The 22687-nt window shown below is 43.9% G+C and overlaps 1 protein-coding gene across 5 annotated transcripts in view, besides 7 other annotated features; it reads left to right on the top strand.

Moving 5' to 3' along the window:
• Positions 228–971: an enhancer, noted in NCBI's record as "OCT4-NANOG-H3K27ac hESC enhancer chr18:77861530-77862273 (GRCh37/hg19 assembly coordinates)". NCBI's record gives its function as "activates a minimal SCP1, AML or CMV promoter by ChIP-STARR-seq in primed H9 embryonic stem cells {active_cell/tissue: H9 hESC(primed)}" and the evidence as "EXISTENCE:reporter gene assay evidence [ECO:0000049][PMID:30033119]".
• Positions 1828–1937: an enhancer, noted in NCBI's record as "active region_13548". NCBI's record gives its function as "activates an Ori minimal core promoter by ATAC-STARR-seq in GM12878 lymphoblastoid cells {active_cell/tissue: GM12878}" and the evidence as "EXISTENCE:reporter gene assay evidence [ECO:0000049][PMID:35858748]".
• Positions 4264–4765: an enhancer, noted in NCBI's record as "H3K4me1 hESC enhancer chr18:77865569-77866070 (GRCh37/hg19 assembly coordinates)". NCBI's record gives its function as "activates a minimal SCP1, AML or CMV promoter by ChIP-STARR-seq in primed H9 embryonic stem cells {active_cell/tissue: H9 hESC(primed)}" and the evidence as "EXISTENCE:reporter gene assay evidence [ECO:0000049][PMID:30033119]".
• Positions 5592–6093: an enhancer, noted in NCBI's record as "H3K27ac hESC enhancer chr18:77866897-77867398 (GRCh37/hg19 assembly coordinates)". NCBI's record gives its function as "activates a minimal SCP1, AML or CMV promoter by ChIP-STARR-seq in primed H9 embryonic stem cells {active_cell/tissue: H9 hESC(primed)}" and the evidence as "EXISTENCE:reporter gene assay evidence [ECO:0000049][PMID:30033119]".
• Positions 5841–22687, top strand: part of ADNP2 (ADNP homeobox 2) — a 31085-nt gene continuing 14238 nt past the window's right edge. The window contains exons 1-2 of one of the 5 annotated variants that reach the window (NM_014913.4): positions 5841–6051; positions 14109–14229. In NM_014913.4, coding sequence (NP_055728.1) covers positions 14122–14229 — 108 coding nt within the window. In that variant the 5' untranslated portion in view covers positions 5841–6051; positions 14109–14121. The other 4 variants (XM_011525883.3, XM_047437350.1, XM_047437351.1 and 1 more) reach the window with 4 other exon arrangements.
• Positions 5903–6062: a silencer, noted in NCBI's record as "silent region_9591". NCBI's record gives its function as "represses an Ori minimal core promoter by ATAC-STARR-seq in GM12878 lymphoblastoid cells {active_cell/tissue: GM12878}" and the evidence as "EXISTENCE:reporter gene assay evidence [ECO:0000049][PMID:35858748]".
• Positions 6263–6362: a silencer, noted in NCBI's record as "silent region_9592". NCBI's record gives its function as "represses an Ori minimal core promoter by ATAC-STARR-seq in GM12878 lymphoblastoid cells {active_cell/tissue: GM12878}" and the evidence as "EXISTENCE:reporter gene assay evidence [ECO:0000049][PMID:35858748]".
• Positions 15254–16179: an enhancer, noted in NCBI's record as "OCT4-NANOG-H3K4me1 hESC enhancer chr18:77876558-77877483 (GRCh37/hg19 assembly coordinates)". NCBI's record gives its function as "activates a minimal SCP1, AML or CMV promoter by ChIP-STARR-seq in primed H9 embryonic stem cells {active_cell/tissue: H9 hESC(primed)}" and the evidence as "EXISTENCE:reporter gene assay evidence [ECO:0000049][PMID:30033119]".

Below are 22687 nucleotides of genomic sequence, written 5' to 3' on the forward strand. Positions count from 1 at the left end.
GAGGTGGGAATCATACAAGTAGAGGAGACTTTGAGAAAATTACTACTCACTCTGGCAGAAGTGTGAACACCACCTCCCGTGCCCTGGATGGAACACAGGCCAGTCTCGACTCACTGGTATACTTGGTGATGAACAAGCCCATTGCTCTAGATTTCTTGTTGGTGTCGTGGCATCTGTGCTGCTGCTAGTACTTCTCACTGCACTTGGATGAACAGAACAGGCAAAGTGGAAGAGACTATACAATGCCATAAGGAAAAAACTATTTATCTCTTTAAGGCTGATCCTCACGGCTTATGGGATTTGTTCTCTTGTCCTGGGATGGGAAACTGGTGTTCCCAGTTCAGAAGCATCTTATGAGAACTATTAGTCTTGTTTTGTCACAGTGGTCATGATGCTGTTGGTTGCATCCTCTGCAGAGTCTGCAATGCTTCTGTGCAGCTGCTCTGTCATCAGATGATCTCCATGATGCTACAACAACACAAATAAAAGAATTCTCATGAAATGATTGCCTATGGAGGCAACCAGACAACCCCCAAGCTGTGAAGATCTGGATCTCTAGCCTCCCCTGAGCTGTCCAAACTCTCCAATGAGAGAATGACCAAAAGGGGAAGGGAGACCAAACTGAATGTGCCAACAGACAATGGTCTGACCGTGTAAGACGATCTCTGACCTATGCCTCTGCAGCAATCAGACCAGAATGGCCAGGACTTAGTCAATGACTGCCAGTTTTCCATGCTTTTATTGTTTCCACTTCCAATTCAGGACCAACTAGAGAAAGCCAAGCATATTTCCAAAGCCAGTAAATCCACAAAAACAAGCGCCCACCTCTGGGGCCTGCCTCCAGCTCTCCATGCCAACAACTGCAGGTTCCCTCCCCTCCGAAGTTTCTCTCAAGGCTGGCCACTTCTTTTCATCTTCACTGCCATCACCCTCATTTAAGTTCCCAGCTGTCATCGTTTTTCACCAGGACTGCTCCCACAACCTCCTCTTAAGCCTCATCTTCCCTTCCTCAATCAACATTCCTTTCTCCGCAGGACAAGCCCTGCTGTACGTTTCAAATGCAGATGTGATCTTATCAACCCGGTCACTGAAACCACTTCCTTGGCTTCTCCTTGGTCTTAATAAGACCCAAATGGCTTCCTAGCCTGGCCCTGGCCTCCCCTGTGATCCTCGTCTTCCTGTGGCCTGCACTTTGACTGCTCTGGTCTGGCTGTGCCAGGCTCCCTCAGGCGCAGGCCTTCTTTGGGGCCTCTCACAGACCTCTCTTCTCCGCCTCTCACAGCTCTGCTTTGCCAGTGTTTACTTATCCTCTGATCCCAGACCCTGCTTCTTGGAGACTGCTGGTCTACATCAGGTTTCTGGGTCACAGGCATATATGGAGATTTCCTTTCTCAGGAGCATTGACCAAGGTTTATAATTATATTTTCATCATGTAGTTATTTCGCGGATGCCTTTCTCCTCCATTAGCTTAAGCTCCAGGAGAGCAGGGATGGAGTCTGCTCAGCACTGTATTATTGGTGCCTGCTGGACCTACACAGAGCGTATGCAGAATAAAGGGGAGAAATAACCTGGTGCAGTGGTTTACGCCTCTCATTCCAGCACTTTGTGAAACTGAGGCGGGAGGATTTCTTGAGTCCAGGAGTTTGAGACCAGTCTGGATAACATAGTGAGAGATCCTTTCTCTAACAAAACCGAAGAACTTAGCCAGTCATGGTGGTCCACACCTGTAGTCCCAGCTACTTGAGAGGCAGAGGTGGGGGGATCCCTTGAGCCCAGGAGGTCGAGGCTGCAATGAACTATGATCCTATCACTGCAGCCTGCCTCTAAGAGTATGACCCTGTCTCTAAGAGAAAAAAAGAAACCTCAAAAAACAAAGTAGAGAAAGAGTACATGTAAGTTGTTCTCCAAGCTCTCCTCTCCTGTGGCTCACTGGTTTTAGATGAACTCTGCAGTTTCTTGGATTGTACACTTGCATGTGCACAGTCGTCTGTGCGTAGACCAGTCGGGCTGCTGACTACAGTTGTTCACACTTGTCTTTACACAGAGTGAGCAGAGCGGGAAGTGGGAGCTGAAATCCAGCTCGCTCTGTTCACATAGGTCTGTGCCCTGCTGTGAGGCTGGGTCTGCACAGAGGCAGAGGAAGTGATACTGAAAAACATATCAAGGCACCTTCATCTTGACCATCCAGGTCCCGGAGGACAGCAACACACCCAGAGGGCCCCTGCTTTTCTAATTCACACAACAGTGCCTGTGGCTGCCACAGTCAACTCTGGGGCTCCCTTTGTTCTGAACAACTATCTTACAAATGCCGATGCTGGTTATAGGGGGACCTAGATGAGAGAGTGGGAAGCTTCCACATGGGCCATCTTCACTTTCAAACCTAGCTGAACAACCGGGGTCGAGGAATCTACTCATACTGCCACCAAGTCTGTGGTCTTCTTGTTATTCAGGAGCGGGTGTGCAGAATAAACCTGCATGAGCTGTGACTCGCCTGGTAGATAAGTCCTGAGGCCCAACCTGTGTCTTCGGTTTGATGACTTCAGTGTGGTGCACTTTCCTGAGTCTATGAAAATAATCTTGACAAGTCCCCAGGTCACATTGCTCATTCCTTCTGTGGTGGGAGGGACAGTCCTTTTTATCTCAATGCTGTGGATGGTGGTTTTAAACTGTATTCATCAGATATCCATGCTGAAGTGTTTAAGGATGGTGTACTGATGTTTTCTAAAAAAAAAAACAGTCGAGATGAATATTTGAATACATATGCGATAAAGCAAGTAAGCAAATGTTAACTGGAAGAGCTAGGTGATGGTTGTTTTCTGAACAATTATTTCAGCTTTTCAGTACATTCAACATTTTCATAGCAAAATGCAGGGGGAAAATCATTCAACATTTAAATTTTATTATATTTATTAGATTTGTATTTATGAAAATGTTGATATTGTATTTATTAAAGTAATGTAGGCATCAGGGATACAATGATGAATGAGACACGGTCCTTACTGGTGCCCCATAGAGAGACAAGCAGTGAGCAGATAACAGTAAACAACGTGGTGAGGGCAGCAGGAGACACACACAATGTTTTGGGAATGTCAAGAAGTACCTACCATATTTTGACTGTGTGTGTGTGTGTGTGTGTGTGTGTGTGTGTGTTCAGGGAGATCTTTCTGGGAGAGAGGCCGGTAGAGTTCAGCCTTGAATGGCAATGGAATGAAAATTAGCTCAGGGGTTGGGACAGGAGTCCCATGAACAAACACCGTGTGGTGTTTACAGGCTGGGGACTGACTGGTCAGCTTTGGAGAATTTGTGTGTCGTGCTCACCAGCTGGGCTTGATTCCTGGGGGATTTTGAGTGATTGCAGCAAGAAGGGAAGGACAGTCAGGTTCACTCTCTAAAAGGGCTGACTGGGGAAAGTACCTGAGGCACCAAGCTGGAGGTAAGGTGGTGGGAGCCTGTGCAGGTGTTACAGGCAGGAGATGACCTGAATGCAGGTAGTGATAGTGCGGCTGCAGATGAGGGAAGAGATCTGACGAATATTTGGGATATAAAATTGGAAAACTGGAGATGGGGAACACACTGCTTGCTGTAGGAGAGGCTGTTGAGGAGAGAATGATGGGCTCAGATTTGAACGTTTTGAATCTGAGTTGCCTGTGGGACTCTGAAGTGGAGCTGCCCCCTTTGGCAGCCAGAAAAATAAAACTGAAACGTAGGAAAGAGATGGAGATACTGGTTTGGAATTGACATAACAAGGTTTGAATCTGTGGTCGAAATTAACAAGGGAGAAAATGCAGAAAAAAATGAAAGGCGTGGGAGTTCCAATACCCAGCACGGTGCCTGGCACACAGGAAGCGAGTGGCGCATATGTGCTGCACCGTGAAGGAAAAAGTCAGCAGGATCCCAGAGAACACCGCGTTCAAGGATGGGCCGGGAAGAGATGCAGGCGAAGATGAGGAAACAGTTCGTGAATATGGAGATGAAAGAGCCCGTCTGGGGAGTAGTGGGTGTGGGGGGGGGCGGCTTTGTGGGGGGAGGTCTGTAGATTAGGAAACAGTTCCCGAGTTTGGAGATTAAAGAGCCCGTTTGAGGAGTAGTGGTGGTGGGGCGGCTTTGTTGCGGGAGGTCTGTAGGAAAGGGGGATTGGTCTGTAGTAACAAATGGAAGATAGATACAGAAAGACGAGGCCTAAAATCTGTTTTGGGCTCAGCAATTAGGAGGGCGCTGGTGACCAAGGCGTTTCTGCAGAGTGGTGAGGGTGGGGGCGAGAGGCGTGCAGGGGGCTGAGGAGACAGACACAGGGACTGCTGTTTTGAGAAATGTGATAAAATGAGAGGTCACTAGAGGATCAATGGGAGACTGCAGGCTTTAACTACACTTTTCATCCCACCCATAATTTTGCAAGGAAGATATATAGGGACATCACACCCATTTACCACTGTAACTCAAAGTAAAATCTTAACTTGTCAGCAAACATAAAGGGCAAACTCTACTTCAATTATGACTTGTATTCATGTAGGAAAAAAGCAAATTTTGGTCAGGTCATATCGGCCCACCATTTAACACAGTTTTAAAACGAATATGGACATTAATTTAGTGCCTATTATGTGTTTAGTCACTGGGCTAAACTGAGCAGAAGGCTCCCATTGAGAGGGAAAAGCTGAAATTATGGACGAGCGGATGGTGACAAGGAGGCTCTGGAGAGGGCGGTGGGCGGAAGGCCCAGCCTGGGCACGGCCTCTGCCCCGCGGTGGCTGGAGTGGGCCTCAGGGCTGGAGGCTGGCGGCGGGTTGCAGGGGCTCGGCGCTCTGGAAGGAGACGTGGCCTTGTGCTGAAAGGGGCACGTGTCCTGCAGACGGCTTCGCCAAGAAGGAACTGCCTGGAACAGCCACTGAGGGCGCGGCTGAGTTAGGGTCAGGGGAAGGAACACTGGAGGGGAGTTAGGGTCAGAGTCAGGGTTAGTGCTAGGTGAGGTTCAGGTGCAGGGTCAGAATTAGGGTTAAGGTTAGGGGCACTGGGGGAGGCGCCTGCGCTGCCCTCGTGGTTACTCCCACGTGCTCTGGGGCACGAGGGCGTCCGCCAGAGGCCTGGGGACTCCACGGAACGAAGACCTAGAGCCATTTTGAAAGCCCTACGCCATGTTTCCACTAATTTTGTGGAATAAATTATTATTGCTACACAATTGATAAACACCTGTGCAAAAATGAACTTTTAGGTTAAGAGTTTATACAAATGTATGCAATTAACCCTCTCCCCACACAACTTGTAGTAGATCTAAAAATCAGAATTCTCAAGAGAAGGTGTGATCACTTTCCCACAGGAATGATGAAGTCAGGAGACCCCAGCTAGTCGGTTCACCAGGATATGCCAATCATGGCACACTTGTCCCAGTTCTGGGAGCCAAAGTTTTGTCTTCCAATGGCAAGGCAGCATTATCACAGTTGGGCTCCCATTGGCTCTGAGATGTGGGCGGGGTCACCACTCCTGGAGCTGCCACTAGCTCCACCCCATTCCATGCAAATGAAGTCAAAGCTGTGGTGAGTCCACGTGATTAGTCACATGGTTGATGACACACTCTCCCCACCCCTTTAGTGACGTCATTGCCCACTCAAACTCTCACGAGAGTTTGCACAGATGTGGAAAGGAGCTGGCAGGGCAGTTCCCTGGGACAGAAGGGAGTCAGGGGGTCCAACAGGGGCCCCCCACTGCCACCCCAGAGCCTCCAGTCCATCTTTAGCCAGGGGCCCCGGGGGGCCTGTGGGAAGTGCCAGGGGCCCCCAAGCACACTCTGCTCTCATTGGCTGGCTGCGCCTACATGCAAATGAGGGCCAACGTCACTTCCTGAGGCCAATCGAGCGCCATTTTCTCTTTCTGGCTGCGCGGGAGGAGGGGACCAGTCGCGCTGGGGGTGGGCGCGCGCTGAGGCGGGGGTCCCGCCGCGCGGGGCGGAGGCGCGGGCGGGCGCAGGCGGCCCCACGGGACGCGGCTGCGCTCGGCGGAAGACGCGGCAGCCCTGCGAGAGGCAGCAGCGGAGACGCGGTGCTCCTCGGGCGCCAAGCGGTAGGTACGGCCCGGCCCGGCGCGGGCCCGCGCGGCGACGCCCCCTGCCCCGGTCCTGGCCCCCGCCCCAGTCTGGTCCCCTCCGAGCCCCGCCCCCGCCGGTACCCAGCCCACACCCACGCCCGCCGCCTGCCCTCGCGCCGCCCGTGGCCGCCTCGGGAATCCCGGGACGTTCTCAGGGCGCGGGTTCGCGGCCCGAACGGCGCCCGTCGACCCCCGACGCGCCCGCGGCCCGCCCCGCCCGCCGCCGGTCACGTGGGAGCGGGGGCCGCCCCGGGAGGGCGGAGAAGGGGATGGGGACCTGAGGGGAGAGTAGGAATAGGGGAAAGACGAGGACGGGGACCGAGGGAGAGAGGGGGGCTGGTGAAGGGAGCGAGGAGTAGAGGGAGAGGGAACGGGGATGGAGAAGAAGAGAGGGGGCAAGGAGCTGTGGCGACCCCTGTAAGGACTCCAGAAACGCCCCGCCCGCTGGCCCGCCCGCCGCATCCCCGAGACCGGGTTCTCCTGGAAGCTTCTCTCTGGAGGAGCCTTGAGTGACGGCAGATGTAGGTCAGGAGCTGACGGTGACACCTAAATCTGCCCAGGTTTTTTTTTCCCTAGAAAGGTTTGAAGAACAGCTGATAACGGGGCCCTGTTTCTTCATCGTTGAGCTTTTGATGCGAATATCAATAATTGATATACAGATGTTGACTTTAACATTACTTTTCATCTGCCGTTGCTGGTTGCATTGAAATAGATTCCGTTTACAAAATTTCTACTACAGTTGACTTTGGAATGTTAATTTTAACTGCCCTTTTAAATACTGTACAGATGCAGAATGAGAAATAATTAGATATTTTAAGTAGTTTATTTGAACAGAAGACTTGCCTGCGTGCTTAAAACTTACTCTATTTGCACGGGTAATCACTGCCTCTTGGGATCTTGAGGAATATACTGGCTGTGGAGGAGTGGGGTGGGGGAGGAGAAACTGGTAAGCAGGTAACTGACAATGCAGATTGGCAAGTGGGGCAGCAGTTTGTAGAGTACTGTGGGCATCTGCCACGCAGAGCCTTTATCAAAAGAGGGGGTTTGGAGTCTGGGTACCATTTTTGGGGGTGAGGAGCATTAGTGGGAGAGAGGACCACATGTAAAAAGAGTTGTGTAAAGTACATGTTCAGCTGTATTTGGAAGTCGGTAATGTATGTGTAACTTATTTAAAGATGTTCTTGGAGAGTTGGCCATGTATGAGTGTGTATTAATATTTCGGTTAAATTTCGGTTGGAGTTAGGACTTCACTGCGAAGACAGCATTGAGCCCGTCGTCCTTAAACATGAAGTGACAGATGTGTGTTAAGAAAGGAAGTACAAGAGTGAAGATGAGACAAGAGGTTGTCCTACCGGCCCTCTAGTTGAGGGGAGGAACAGTGAGGGTTAGGACATGTCTGAAAGGAGTTGATCACTGTTTATGGGGGAAGATGACAGCTATGCTAAGATTTTTAGCTGAAGAGATTCTGGGATTTGGGAGACACGTTTTTAATTTGAACCCAAGTTTGCAATATGCTGTTGGTTAATTTATGATTGCCCTCATAAGTTCACCAATAGCATATTGCAAACTTGGTTTCTGCCCTGCCCTTCATCCTCTGGCTATCCTAGACCTGTTAGGGCAATGTGTTACATAGGTGGAAACCGGTATCTCCCAGTGATTTGAACCCAGATCTGCTGAATATATGATCCAAGTATTCTGTGTTTTTAAAGTTGCTTTTTAAAAAGTCCTGTATTCCAATAGTTGGGACATTTCATTTAGTTTTTTGGAGTTAATTAATAGCAAACTCAGTGCTTATGTGCTGTTTTGCATGTATTAACTCATTTATCCTCATAACTACTCTGTGAATTAGGTCATACTCGCCCTGTTTTACAGAAGAGCCAGCTGAGGCCTGGAGAGAGTAAGTGATTTCCTGAAGATTACACAGCTCATAAATGGTGGAGCTGATGTAAACCCGGGCACACAACTCCAGAATCCTTTTTGGTGACCATCGTTTTGTGCGATTTCACAGGAACTAAAAAAAAGTTCTGTGGCTTAAAAAGTATTGTTTATTACTGTATTACCTGAATGACATTTTTTTTTTTTTTTTTTGAGACGGAGTTTTGCCCTGTCGCCCAGGCTGGAGTGCAGTGGTGTGATCTCGGCTCACTGCAACCTCTGTCTCCCGGGTTCAAGCGATTCTCCTGCCTCAGCGTCCCGAGTAGGACCCAGCCAATTTTTTGGTAATTTTTAGTAGAGACAGGGTTTCACCATATTGGTCAGGCTGGTCTCCAACTCCTGACCTCAGGTGATCTGCCCGCCTTAGCCTTCCAAAGTGCTGGGATTACAGGTGTGAGCCGTTGCACCCGGCCAACATTTTCTTTTAGAATGTATTTTTTTTTCTATAATAGAATATCCTTACGAGATCATTATACTAAAAAATCCCCAGAGAAGTCCTTTATGTACCCTTTTGGGAAATAATATTTTCTTGTGCATATCAGTGGAATTTTATGGTAGTTCCATGCCTACCCTAAACATTAGGAATTGAGATTTATTTTGAATTGAAATTGATAGGTTGGTGCATGATGTGGAAATAGTTGGCCGCCCCGGTTAGCCTGCTGTTTTCTAATGGTGAAAATACAGATTTTACTGAGCTCTAAGATTCTATGGAGAACAGTATCTATAGAGGATCTATAAATATGAAAACATTGAACTATTTCATAGTTAATTCATCCACTGGGCATTTTACATGGAATATTTTATCTTAGGATTGATAAATTATGCTATAAGAATGGATCTAAGAATGAATAAATTGTGGTAGCTTAGAATGGATAAATTATGGGTAAAAGTCAGCTTCCCATCCCCAAAGTGGTTGGCAACAGTTATGAAACCTGTAATTTACTTGCATTTTATTTTTTATCCTTTGTTGGTTTCCCTAAAGCAGTTAGGAAACTGCTAAACAAAAAAAAAAAGGAGGGGGGAACTTTTCCCCCTCCTTTTTTTAAATGAAAAGGTATTTGTGTGCTTGTGTTTTGTTTTGTTTAGAAGGGCCACAATAACGATGAAGGAATGGAAGCACTTTCATTTGAGAATAAAAAGTTCCTATTTTTCAAATTCAAGGGAAAAAAATAAAAAAGTGACAACTCCTTGGCCCTAGTCCCAAGCCTTGAACAAGTAACCACAGACCCCTGCCCAATCTCTGAGAGCCTCATTTTAGTAACCCCTTTCTGAGGTTCATGTATGTACAACCATGCTTACATGAATCAGCCAATCCCCAATCACTCTGCTTTTAAAAGTCCACCAGTCTTTGTATCCCAGGCTTCTCAAAACTCTGTGATAAGATCAGCTCTGGCTGTGTGAGTTGAGATTTTCTTGGAAGCAGTAAATTTAGCTTCCCTGTTTCAGATACATATGGATGATGGTCCCTACTTTAGACAACACTGTTTGTCAGCCAGCTTTTGGAGAAGAACCCCAGAGGATAGAGAGGATAGTGGAACTTTAAGGAGGAAATGAAATCAAGTCTGATAGAGTCCCTGGAAAGCAGCTAACAAAATTTTCGTTGAGTTTTGCTCTGACCAAAGAAGCTGGACTGGGCCAGAAAGTGACCTTGAGCTTAGTGTTTAGAAATGCATAATGAGGTTATGGCAGCTCTTGTGTGAGAGTGTAAGCTTTTGAAGGCTAGAACCCAAATCAGTGCATTTTATTAAAGAAAATTTTTAAACTTAAAATTTTATAAAGAAAATTTTTAAATTTTTATCCTCCCAGTTCTACAATGCTAATGATCCTTAAATCTCTCCTTTTGCTGAGACCAGGATACATTTTTCACATAGATAACTTTGAAAAGAAATTTATCCGCTTCAAAACAGCTTCTCAAAAACTTGGTGTTTGCTTGTTACCCACCAAAAATTTCTCCCTATTATATGTTAACCCTTTCTGCCTCCCACTCCTCTCCCAGTTTGATTCCAGTCCACCTTTTTGGTTTTACTTTTGCCAAATAAATTCAGACTTTTCCTTCTTTACCTCAATAATTTTTTGATGCTAATTTATTCACCTTGTATGTCTTGGGCACCAGCTTTCCATAGCCATGTCCTCTTTAGAACCTCCTAGCACTTTCTGCATATCTTACGGTTCTTATCCTGTTTTATTTTATATCTTTTGTTCATTTAATGAACATTTGCTACGTACTGTGCTCTGTGATGGGACCCTCTCAAGCAAATATAACATGATTTCTGCCCTGGAGTAGTTCAGCCCAATAGGAGAAATGGATATATAAGTAGATAATTGCAACATGGTGAGTCGAGTGCAGTGGAGTGGTATGTGGTTATGGTACTAAGTCCTAGGAGGGATCACTAAGCCTGTCCTTGGGTGGTGGATACAAGAGAGGAATGTAGAAGTAGAATTGCTTACTCAGAAATTGTCCTTAAAAATCATGAGAGAGCTGGGCATGGTGGTTCATGCCTGTAATCCCCGTACTTTGAGAGGCTGACGGGGAGGATTGCTTGAGCTCAGGAGTTCAAGACCAGCCTGGGTAACATAGGGAGACCCTGTCTCTACCAAAAAATAAAAAAAAGTTAGCCAGGTGTGGTGGCATACATCGGTAGTCCAAGCTACTCATGAGGTTGAGGCAGGAGGATTGCTTGAGGTTGGGAGGTTGAGGCTGCAGTGAGCTGTAATCAAGCCACTATACTCCAGCCTGGGTGAAGGAGCAAGACCCTGTCTCAAAAAAAAAAAAAGAAAAAAAAGATCTTGAGAGGTATTGCCAAATTACCCTGTAAAAGCATAAAAATTAAAATTTTTCTACTTTTACTACCACCAGATGTTAGTAATCTTAATAGTTACTGTTTTGATAATAAAAATTTGACATTTTAAATGGCATTTCTTTATTATTAAAGTTGAATAACCAAATATTTGCCACTTGAGTTTGACTGATATATATTTTAGCTTTTATAGCCTACACATTTAAATTTTGGAATAGTTGGCAGATTTTTAGGAAAGTTACAAGTATAGTACAAATAACTTTTTTCCCTGAATCACTTGAGAATAAGTTGCCAAAAAAGTTGCCACATTACCCTAAATACTACAAACAAGAACATTCTCCTACATATCCATAACAAAACCATCAAAATCAGGAAATCACTACATTCGAGCGGGTTATAGTCTATATAACTATATAGATTATCACTGTATACCAAACCACCCCAAACTTACTGGAGTAAGACATTTTATTTAAGAAGCGCATCAGTTCTCTGGGTCAGTTCTATTCAGACAGGGAAGGGAGATGGTTTGTTTCTGGTCCACAGTGTCTGGGCCTCATCTGGGAAGACTCAAAGGCAGGGGGTGACTTGACAGCTAGGGCTGGAATCCTCAAGAGGCATCTTCACTCCCATGCTGGTAGTTGATGTGGAACACCTCTACCTGGTGTCTCTGTGGGCTAGTTGGCACTTTCTACACATGTGGTATCTAGATTCTGGGCATGATCATCCTGAGAGAGGTATGTGGCATTTTTATGATCTAGTCTTGGAATTCTCATGGCATTATTTCCTCCATACTTGATTGGTCAAGGCAGCCACAAAGTTCTGCCCAAAGGTCAGGAGGGGGCATTAGATGCTGCCACTTTTGGGAGGAGTGTTAGGGCCGTATTGTAAGAGCATGTGGGTTGGAAGGTATTGTGTGTTTGGAAAATTCACTTTGCCACAGGTTGTATCTGTTACTTGATATATGCCCACATTGTCTCGTATCTGGCCTATGGGAGCCCTTTCAAGCTGGTTACTTCTGTGTTCTGTTGACATGCCTCATTGAGCAACTGCTTTATATTCCGGCACAGGATGTTCTAGGCTCATCTTGTCTTTACCATGCTCCAGCCATTTTTCCTAGGGTTCTTTTTAAAGGAAAGCGGTATTTAGGAATTCAGGTTTGAGCCCTAGTTGTGCCCACTGCTACTGGGGTGTATAACTGCATCCAGGCACTCTCAGTGGGCAGAGCTATGGAATGTATGTGTGTATGTGGACACACACTCTCAAACTATCTCTATTCTTCTATCTGTGTGTTGAAAACAATGAGTTCACTTCAGTAACCCCTAGTCTGGTCAAGTACTACAGGGTTTATTTTAATTTTGTGCCTTTTTAGATATTGTTTTAAACAGCTTGAGATATAATTTATGTACCATACAATTCACCAGTTTGAAGTGTACAGTGAATGGCTGTGGGCTCATTCACATTGCGTATACATCACCACAGTTGAGTTCAGAACGAAGAAGCCCTGCTTCCATCACTTCCCAGTTCTCCCAGCCCTGGCAGCCACTGTTGTGCTTTTTTTTTCTGGGGACGGAGTTTTGCTCTTACTGGTCAGGGTGGAGTGCAGTGGCGCGACCTCGGCTCACTGCAACCTCTGTCTCCCAGGGTCAAGCAATTCTCTTGCCTCAGCCTCCCGAGTAGCCGAGATTACAGGTGCCCAGCTAATTTTTTGTATTTTTAGTAGAGATGGGGCTTCACCATATTGGCCAGGCTGGTCTTGAACTCCTGACCTCAGGTGATCCACCCACCTTGGCCTCCCAAAGTGCTGGGATTACAGGTGTGAGCCACTGCACTCGGCCCACTGTTGTGCTTTCTATGGATTTGCCTGTTCTGGACACTTCACATAAATAGAATCATACAATATGTGGTCCTTGTGTCTGGCTTCTTTTACTTAGCATATTTCCAAAGTTTGTCCATATTGTAGCATGTATGTATTTCATTTCTTTTATGGCCAAATAATCTATTGTATGGATATGTCATATTTTATTTATCCAGTCATCAGTTTATTTATCAAATGCCCCAATGCAGGGGCATTTGGTTTGTTTACACATTTTGGTGACTGAATAGTGTTGTCATGAACATCCTTATATAAGTTTTTGGGTGGATGTATGCTTTTCTCTTGAGTGGAATTGCTGGTTCATATGTTACCTATATTTTTAATCTTTTGTGGGACAGCCAGACTGTTTTCAGGCACACATGAAGACTGGCTGCACTGGTATACATTACTATTAGGAATGTATGAGAGTTCCAATTTCTCCACGTCCTTGCCAACACGTTTCCTTTTTTTTTTCTTTATAGATATCCTGGTGGGCACAGTATCTCTTTGTGGTTTTAATTTGCATTTCTCCAAATGGCTAATGATGTTGAGCATTTTTTTTTGTTTTGTTTTAAGATAGGGTCTCACTCTGTTGCTCAGGCTGGAATATAGTGGCGTGATCAGACTCACTGCAGCCTTGACCTCCTGGGCTCGGGTGATCCCCTCACCTCAGCCTCCTGGATAGCTGGGACTACAGGTGCGCACCAGGATGCCTGGCTAATTTTTGTATTTTTTGTAGAGGCAGGGTTTCACCATGTTGCCCTGGCTGGTCTTCAACTCCTGAGCTCAAACAGTCTGCCTGATCTGTGTACCTCAGCCTCCTGAGCTGCTGGAATTACAGGCGTGAGCCACTGTTCCCTGCCTGAGCATCTTTTCATGTACCTTAGTGGACATTTTTCTTTGGAGAAGTGTCTATGATCCTTTGCCCATTTGTAAACTGGGTTATCTGTGTTTTAATTATTGAGATACAAGAGTTATCTGTATTCTGCATATAAGTTCCTTATTAGAAAGGAATAATGGTTTGCAAATATTTTCTCCCGTTTTGTGGGTTTTTTGCTTTTTTGATGGTGTCCTTTGAAGCATAAAAATTTTTAATTTTGGTGAAGTCCATACCTATTTTTTCTTTCATTACTGGTGCTTTTTGGTGTCCTATCTAGGAATTCCTTGCCGAATCTAAGGTCATCAATGTTTATGCTTACGTTTTCTTATAAGAGTTTTATAGTTTTAGGTCTTACATACAGGTGTGTGATCCACTTTTGAGTTAATTTTTGTATATGGTGTAAGGAAGAGGTCAACCTCATTCATTTGCATATGAATGTTCACTCGTTCTACAACAATTTGTTGAAAATTATACTCTATTCCTAGTGTTTTACCAACCCTGTCAAAAAATGTATTTTTGTGTATTATATACATGTACTTATTACAGTTTTGTTTTCTTTCCTTTTAAGGAAAATTTCAAAAATGTTTCAAATTCCTGTGGAAAATCTTGACAACATCAGAAAGGTGCGAAAAAAGGTGAAAGGTATTCTTGTGGATATTGGGCTTGACAGCTGCAAGGAGTTACTGAAGGTAAGAGGACGTAAGTAGCCAACTGGAATCTGGAGGTGAGATTTGAACTCGGGTTTTTGAAGAGTGGGTAAGATTCCTCAAAATGGAAATTGCTGTTATACTTCAGATGGCTGTGTGAAAGCCTCATTAGTACTTATTTATGTCTTTATGACATAAAGTGAGCTATTTAAGCTGTTCAGGTTTTTAAGCTACTTTAAGGAGGGGATTTTTCTAGTCATTAGTTACTAAAAAATTGTTTTTGATGTTTGAGGGAAATGTGATTTGTTATTTTAGCAAAAGAAAACTAACTTAATTTCCCAGTATTGTTAGAGCAATCAACAAATGGGCATGCATAAATGAAATGATAGGGTTTTTTTTAATCCTGATTTGTGTAGTTGTATATGTGATCTCAGAAAAGTTTTCCTAAAATTTTGTCTGTCCTTATAACATTGAGAATACATAGTTGGCATATATAGTTTTAAACAATGTTAAATAAAAGTTGTTGTATATCCTGGCCGGGCATGGTGGCTCACGCCTGTAATCTCAGCACTTTGGGAGGCTGAGGTGGATGGATCATTTGAGGTCAGGAGTTCGAGACCAGCCTGGCCAACAACATGGTGAAACCCTGTCTCTACTGAAAATACATAAATTAGCTGGGTGTGGTGGCGGGCGCCTGTAGTTGCAGCTACTCAGGAGGCTGAGACACAAGAATTGCTTGAACCTGGGTGGCAGAAGTTGCAGTGAGCCGAGATAGCACCACTGCACTCCAGCCTGGGTGACAGAGTGAGTGAGACTCTGTCTCAAAAAAAAAAAAAGTTCTTATATATCCTTGTAGTCATTGGTAATGACATTTTTGTCTCGTCTAATCATTTATAGCCTTGCTTTCCCCTTCATTAATAAATGTAGTCTAGGATCAGGTATGTATTTGGTTGTCATGTCTCTTTAGTCTCCTTTTGAGGTCAATTCAATCTTTTAAGGTGGAATTCTGTTAGGAAATTTGTTTTATTTTTAAGTAACATGTCAGTAACAACAAAAGTTTTTCATCCTAGAGTCCTTTGTTTTTGACTTGACTGGAACTGAACATTGCTCGTGAACTTTTGCTTCCTTAGCCTGAGAATGTGTTTACTCTTCTGAAGTTCTTCACGGCTGTTTACTTTTTTTTCCCAAGACTTTACTGATGCAGAGATACGGTACTTCACAAGGGAAAATTAAGAGATTTGAATGGCTTAAACTGTTAATTAGATTAACTGTTGAATTAGTAAAACTATTTTGGGGAGAAAATTTTATTTGTAATTGGGCCTATAATGAAATTTTTGAAAATTCAAGTAATACAGAAGTTTTTTATAGGAAAATGAGAAAACAGACACAGAAACAAGACAGTAAGACTCACGCGTAAACCATTACCCTGAAATATCCAGAATTAACGTTGTTATATATCTATAGATTTTTAAAAACGGGATATATTCACATTTTTTTTCTTAAAAGGATATAATCAAATTGTATAAGCTACTGCACCAGCTGTTGTTTCTTTTTCACTGAACCGCATAGTGAGAACCTTTTTCCATGTGAAGTGCGTTTATTCTTAATCCACCACAGCAATTAGAGTTCTTTGTTTTCAAGCAGCAGAAACCAATCTGACCAATTTACACAAAAGGAGATTTATTGGAAGCCTCTTGGGGGGCTTAGGCAGGAGAATGGCATGTACCCAGGAGGCGGAGCTTGCAGTGAGCTGAGATGGCGCCACTGCATTCCAGCCTGGGTGACAGAGTGACAGACTCCGTCTCAAAAAAAAAAAAAAAAAAAATCCAAGCTGACTGGAGAACCAACCCTGTAGAGAGAAAGAACCAAGGAAACTACCTGTCCATCGTCCTCACTGCTGCCTTGCTCTGTATTTCAGATTTCAGAGTGGTATGTCGCTCTGCCTTCTTGTAAGATTTACACAGCACATGTGACTTCAATCTTAGCAAGAGTTAACACCTCCAATAGGAGGCTGTTCTTGTCAGTAGCCTGGCTGAGAAAAGTAAGCCCTAGGAAAGGTAGACTCTTCCACGAATCTAATATTTTCTAAACTATATCTAAACCCTGCTGCACATAGAAACTCTTTAGGAGTTGTTTTTTATAAAAATTAACATCTGATCAGAAATTAACATTGGATCTGGGATGGGCGAGGGACCCTTGTCAAGTTACCTGCCAAACATACCTTGGTGCTGCCAGTGCAGGACAGGAATGGTTGCCACCTTGCTGCACACTGAGATGCCACAGCAAGTGCATTCAACCACCTCCCCCCCAACCCCCAATCTGTGCCAGCCCCCAACTTGGGACTACAGTGGAATGTGGACCTCTTGACAACTTGGTACAGTCCCAGGTGGAAGATGTGAGTGAGAGAGTGGTTATAGGGGTGGGGACTGGGAGGAAGGCTGAGGCCAAGTGGGCTTTGGGGTGAGGGCAAGGCAGAGAGCAGTATCAGACCTGGCCCTGGAAAGGGTAAAGGAGGCAGACCATGTGTGAGCTGAGGCTCCGAGCCCTTGGCATATGCTCCATGTCCCATCAGAGTTCACTTTTATAATATAAAACACAAATTCAAAGATAGATTGTTAAGAATTCACGATGGTTACCACTGAGCATTAAATCCCTTGAGCACAGGCTTTGTGCAGCTGTGCTAGTTGCATGCCCATGGAGCTGGCCCTGACTGGTATATTCTTTTCTTTTTTTTTTTTTTTGAGACAGGGTCTCGCTCTTTTACCCAGGCTGGAGTGCAGTGGTACAATCATGGCTCCCTGCAGCCTTGATTTCCTGGGCTCAGATGATCCTCCTAACTCAGCTTTCTGAGTAGCTGGCACTATAGGTGCATACCACCACACCTGGGTAATTTTTTTTTGTATTTTTTTATTGAGTCGAGGTTTCACCATGTTGCTCAGGCTGGTCTTGAACTCCTGGGCTCAAGCGATCCACTTACCTTGGCCTCCCAGAGTGGTGGGATTATATGTGTCAGCCACTACACCTGGCCCATGACTGGTATTTTCTTTTATTCATTTATTTTTTTTTGAGATGGAATCACTCTGTCACCAGGCTGGAGTGCAGTGCTGCGATCTCTGACTCACTGCAACCTCCGACTCCCTGGTTCAAGTGATTCTCCTGCCTCCGCCTCATGAGTAGCTGGGATTACAGGCACGTACCACCAAGTCCAACTAATTTTTGTATTTTTAGTAGAGATGGGGTTTCACCATGTTGGCCAGGATAGTCTCGATCTGTTGGTGGACACTTGGATTGATTTCACCTTTTGTCTCTTGTGAATTATGCTGCAATGAACATTGGTGCACAAGTATTTGTTTGAGTCCCTGTTTTCAGTTATTTTGGGTGTATATACCTAGGAGTGGAATTTTTGGGTCATATAGTTATTCTGTTTACTTTTTCAAAGAACTGCCAAACTTTTCACAGTGAAAGTGCACCATTTTACATTCCTACCAGAAGTGTACAAGAATTAAATCTGTTCACATCATTACCAACACTTACTTTTTTCTCCTTCCTCCCTTCCCTTCCTTTCTCCCTCTCTGCTTCCTTCCCTCTGTCCCTCTTCCTTTTCCTTTCTCCCTCCCTCACTTGCCATCCTAATAGTGTAAAGTGGAATCTCATGGTGGTTTTGATTTGCATTTCCGTAGACAAATGAGTTTCAGCATCTTTTCATGTGCTTATAAGCCATTTGTATATCTTCTTTGGAAAAATGCCTGTTGGCAGGTTCTTTGCCTGTTTTTTAATTGGGTTGTTTGTCTTTATGTTGTTGAAATACAGTAATTTCCTTATTCTGGGTATTAAACCGTTATCAAATACGTGATTTGCATATATTTTCTTCTACAGGTTGTCTTTACTTTCTTGATAACATCTTGTTGCACAAAAGTTGTTAATTTTGATGAAGTCCAATTTATCTATTTTTTCTATTGTTGTTGGTGTTTTTTATTTCATATCTAAGAATCCATTGCCAAGTCCAAGGTCATGAAAATTTTCTCCTATGTTTTTCCTAAGAGTTTTATGGTTGTAGTTCTCATGTTAAGTCGCTGATCTATTTTGAGTTAATTCTTATATATTGTATAAGTAGGAGTCCGGTTTCATTCTCTTACATGTAGATAGAAATTCAGTCGTTTCAGCACCGTTTCTTCTAGAGACTGTTTGTTCCCTATTGAATGGACTTGGCACCCTTATTGAAAATCAGTTGGTCCTGGATATATGGGTTTATTTCTGTACTCTCAGTTCTATTCCATTGATCTATATGTCTATCCTTATAACAATCCTATACTGGTTTTTTTTTTTGAGACTGAGTCTTGCTCTGTCACCCCGGTTGGAGTGCAGTGACATGATCTTGGCTCACTGCAACCTCTGCCTCCTGGGTTCAAGAAGTGATTCTCTTGCCTCAGCCTCTCGAGTAGCTGAGATTACAGGTGCCTACCACCATGTCTGGCTAATTTTTGTATTTTTAGTAGAGACGGGGTTTTGTGATGTTGGCCAGGCTGATCTTGAACTCCCAACCTCAAGTGATCCACCCACCTCAGCCTCCCGAAGTGCTGGGATTACAGATGTGAGCCACTGTGCCCGGCACCTATACTGTTTTGATTTAAACAAATGGTAAGTTTTATAGTAAGTTTTGAAATTGGGAAGTGTGAGTCTTCCAACTGTATTCTTTATTTCAGTATTGTTCTGGCTTTTTGGGGCCCCTTGTAATTTCATATGAATATGAGGATAGACTTTTCCATTTCTGCAAAGAAGACTCTTAGAACTTTGATGAGGATTGTGTTTGACATTACTTTGGGGATTATTGACATCTTAACAACATTGTCTTCCTATTTGTGAACATACTCTGTTTCTTTAGGCCTTTAATTTCTTTCGACAGTGCTTTGTAGTTTCATTGTGTAAGGCTTTCACTTCTTTGGTTAAATTCATACAATAAACTCATAGGTATTTTGTTATAAGTGGAATTGTGTTCATAATTTCCTGTTCAGATTTTTCAGTGCAGATATATAGAAACAACTGATTTTTGTGTATTGATCTTGAATCATGCAACTTTGCTGAATTTGTCATTAGCTCTGGTAGTTTCTTGTAGATTCTTTGGGATTTTCTATATGTAGAATCATGCATTCTGCAAATAAGGCTTTACTTCTATTTTTCAGTTACGATGCCTTTTATTTTTTGCCTCATTGTTCTGTTTAGAACGTCCAGTATAATATCTTGTGGCAGCAATGAAAGTGGGGGTCCTTGTCTTGTTCCTGATATTAGGAGGAGAGTTTTTGGTCTTTTACCGTTGAATATGATGTTAATGGGTTTCTCAGAAATGCCCTTTATCTTGTTGAGGAGAGTCCCTTCAATTCCTAGTTTTCTGAGTGATTTTTTTTTTAATCATGAAAACCTGTTGGATTTTATCAGATCCCTTCTTTGTGCCAATTGTGATAACCATGTGATTTTTTTCCCCCGTGCTTCATTCTACTAATGTGGTGAATTACATTGATATATTTTCTTATGTTGAAGCCCCTTTGCATTCTTGGGATGGAATGCACTCACTTGGTCGTGGTGTATAATTGTTTTAATACACTGTTGAATTTGGTTTGCTAGTATGTTGTTAAGGATTTTTCATCTGTGTTCATAAGGAATATTGGTTTTTAATTTTCTTGTAATGTTTTTATTTGGCCCTCGTATCAGGGAAATGCTGTCTTCAAGAATGAGTTAGAAGTTGTTCCCTCCTCTTTTTTTTTGTTTTTTGTTTTTTGTTTTTTGAGAGGGAGTTGCGTTCTTATTGCCCAGGCTGGAGTGCAGTGGCGCAATCTTGGCTCACCGCAACCTCCGCCTCACAGGCCAAGCGATTATCCTGCCTCAGCCTCCCGAGTAGCTGAGATTCAGGCATGCGCCACCACACCCAGCTAATTTTTCTATTTTTAGTAGAGACGGGTTTTTCCTTGTTGGTCAGGCTGGTCTCGAACTCCCGACCTCAGGTGATCTGCCCGCCTCGGCCTCCCAAAGTGCTGGGATTACAGGCCTGAGCCACTGTGCCTGGCCCCTCCTCTTCTATTTTTTTGTGGCGAGTTTGAGAAAAATTGATGTTAGTTCTTTCTTTAATTTTTTTTTTCTTTTTTTGGAGACAGAGTCTCGCTCTGTCGCCCAGGCTGGAGTGCAGTGGCATGATCTCAGCTCACTGCAACCTCCACCTCCCAGGTTCAAGCCATTCTCCTGCCTCAGCCTCCCGAGTAGCTGGGATTACAGGCGTGCATCACCATGCCCAGCTAATTTTTGTATTTTTAGTAGAGGTGGGGTTTCACCATGTTGGCCAGGCTGGTCTCAGACTCCTGACCTCAAATGATTTACCCACCTCGGTGTCCCAAAGAGCTGGGATTACAGGCATGAGCCAGCACGCTCAGCCTTTTAAGTATTTTTTAGGATTCACCAGTGAAGCCACCTGTACCTGTACTTTTCTCTGTTAGGAAGTTTTTGATGAATTCAGTCTCTTGTTACAGAAATTTGAAATTTTTCTATTTCTTCATGGGTATGAATCAGTTTTAGGTAATTAGTGTCTTTCTAGGAATTTGTCCATTACATCAAGTTAATTTTGTTTGTTCACATACAGTTGTTCCTAATAATCTGTCTCTCTCTCTGTCTCATTTTTCCTGAGATGGAATGAATCATTCTTTATGGCAGCTCTAGCCCCAGGTTGTTTTACCTGTGTTTCTGACTGACTGGCTATAAACTGGTGTTCCCACAACTCCCTCCTTGGATTTGATTACTTTGTCAGAGTGGCTTACCAAACTCAAGGAAATACTTACTTATATTTACTGGTTTATGACAAAGAAAGGATGTTATAAAGAATCACAGTGAAAGAGATACATAGGGCAAGGTATAGGGGAAGGGACTAGAGCTTCCAGGCCCTCCGCGGGTACTCAACCCTCCAGGAACCTCCATGAGTCCATCTATCCAGAAGACCACCAAACCCAATCCTGTTGGGTTTTTGTGGTGGCTTCCTTATGCAGGCATGATTGATTAAATCATCTTAACCTTCAGCCCTTCTCCCTGCCCTGGAAGTTAGCTGAAAGTCCCCCACCCTCTAAACTTGCCTTGGTGATAAGCCCCCATCCTGAAGCTACCTAGGGGCTGCCAACCACCAGTCATCTCATTAGCACACAAAAAGACAAAAATTAACATAACTCTTAATTCTAGATATTTCAGGGTAATGGTTTATGCGTGAGTCTTATTTTCTTGTTTCTGTGTCTATTTTCTAATTTTTCTATAAAAACTTCTATATTGCTTGAATTTTCAAAAATTTCATAATATATAGGCCCAACTACAAGTTAATCTGACTTGGGAGATTCCAAGGGTTTTAGGAGTTGTATGTCAGGAAATAGGGATGAAGACCAAATGTATATTTCAGAGTATCATACATGGCATGTATTTTTCTATTTTTAAACCTTTAATCCATAATGACTTTATATTTAAAGTTTTAATAGGCAGCATGTAATTGGTCTTGCTTTGTTACCCAACGTGTTAGCCTATGCCTTTTGAGTATCTGGACCCAGGGGTTGGCAAACTATAGCCCATGGGTCAAGTTGGGCTTGCTGTTATTGTAAATACAGTTTATTGGCGCCAGGTGCAATGGTAATCCCAGCACTTTGGGAGGCTGAAGTGGGAGTATTGCTTGAGGCCAGGAGTTTTAGACCAGCCGGGACAACATAGCAAGACTCTGTCTTTAAAATAATAAATAGGCCGGGGGCGGTGGCTCACGCCTGTAATCCCAGCACTTTGGGAGGCCGAGGTGGGCGGATCACGAGGTCAGGAGATCGAGACCATTCTGGCTAACATGGTGCAACCCCATCTCTACTAAAAATACAAAAAATTAGCCAGGCTTGGTGGCGGGTGCCTGTAGTCCCAGCTACTCAGGTGGCTGAGGCAGGAGAATGGCGTGAACCTGGGAGGTGGAGCTTGCAGTGAGCCTAGAATGTGCCACTGCACTCCAGCCTGGGCGACAGAGTGAGACTCCGTCTCAAAAAAAAAATAAAAAAAAATAGCCAGGTGTGGTGGTGTGCGCTGGTAGTGTCAGGTACTCGGGAGGCTGAGGTGGGAGGATCCCTTGAGCCCAGGAGTTCAAGGCTGCAATGAGCCATGATTACACCACTGCACTCCAGCTTGGGTGACAAAGTGAGACACTGTCTCAAAAAAAATTTTTTTAATTAAAAGAAGTTTATTGAAATAGCTATTCCCATTAGTTTAATATATCGTCCAAGGCTGCTTTTGTGCACGGTGTGGCAGGATTGAGTAGTTGTATGAGAGACTCTACAGGCAGCAAAGCCTAAACTGTTTATTAACCTGTCCTTTACAGAAGAAGTTTGCCAGTCCTTTTTATTTAATGTGATTATTGATATGGTTGGTTTTAAATCTCCCATCTCGGTGTTTGTTTTTTTACTTGTCTCATCTGTTCTTTATTTTTCACTCTTTTTCTGCTCTCTTTTGG

Source organism: Homo sapiens, chromosome 18 (assembly GCF_000001405.40).
Source record: "Homo sapiens chromosome 18, GRCh38.p14 Primary Assembly".
NCBI classification, from domain to species: domain Eukaryota; kingdom Metazoa; phylum Chordata; class Mammalia; order Primates; family Hominidae; genus Homo; species Homo sapiens.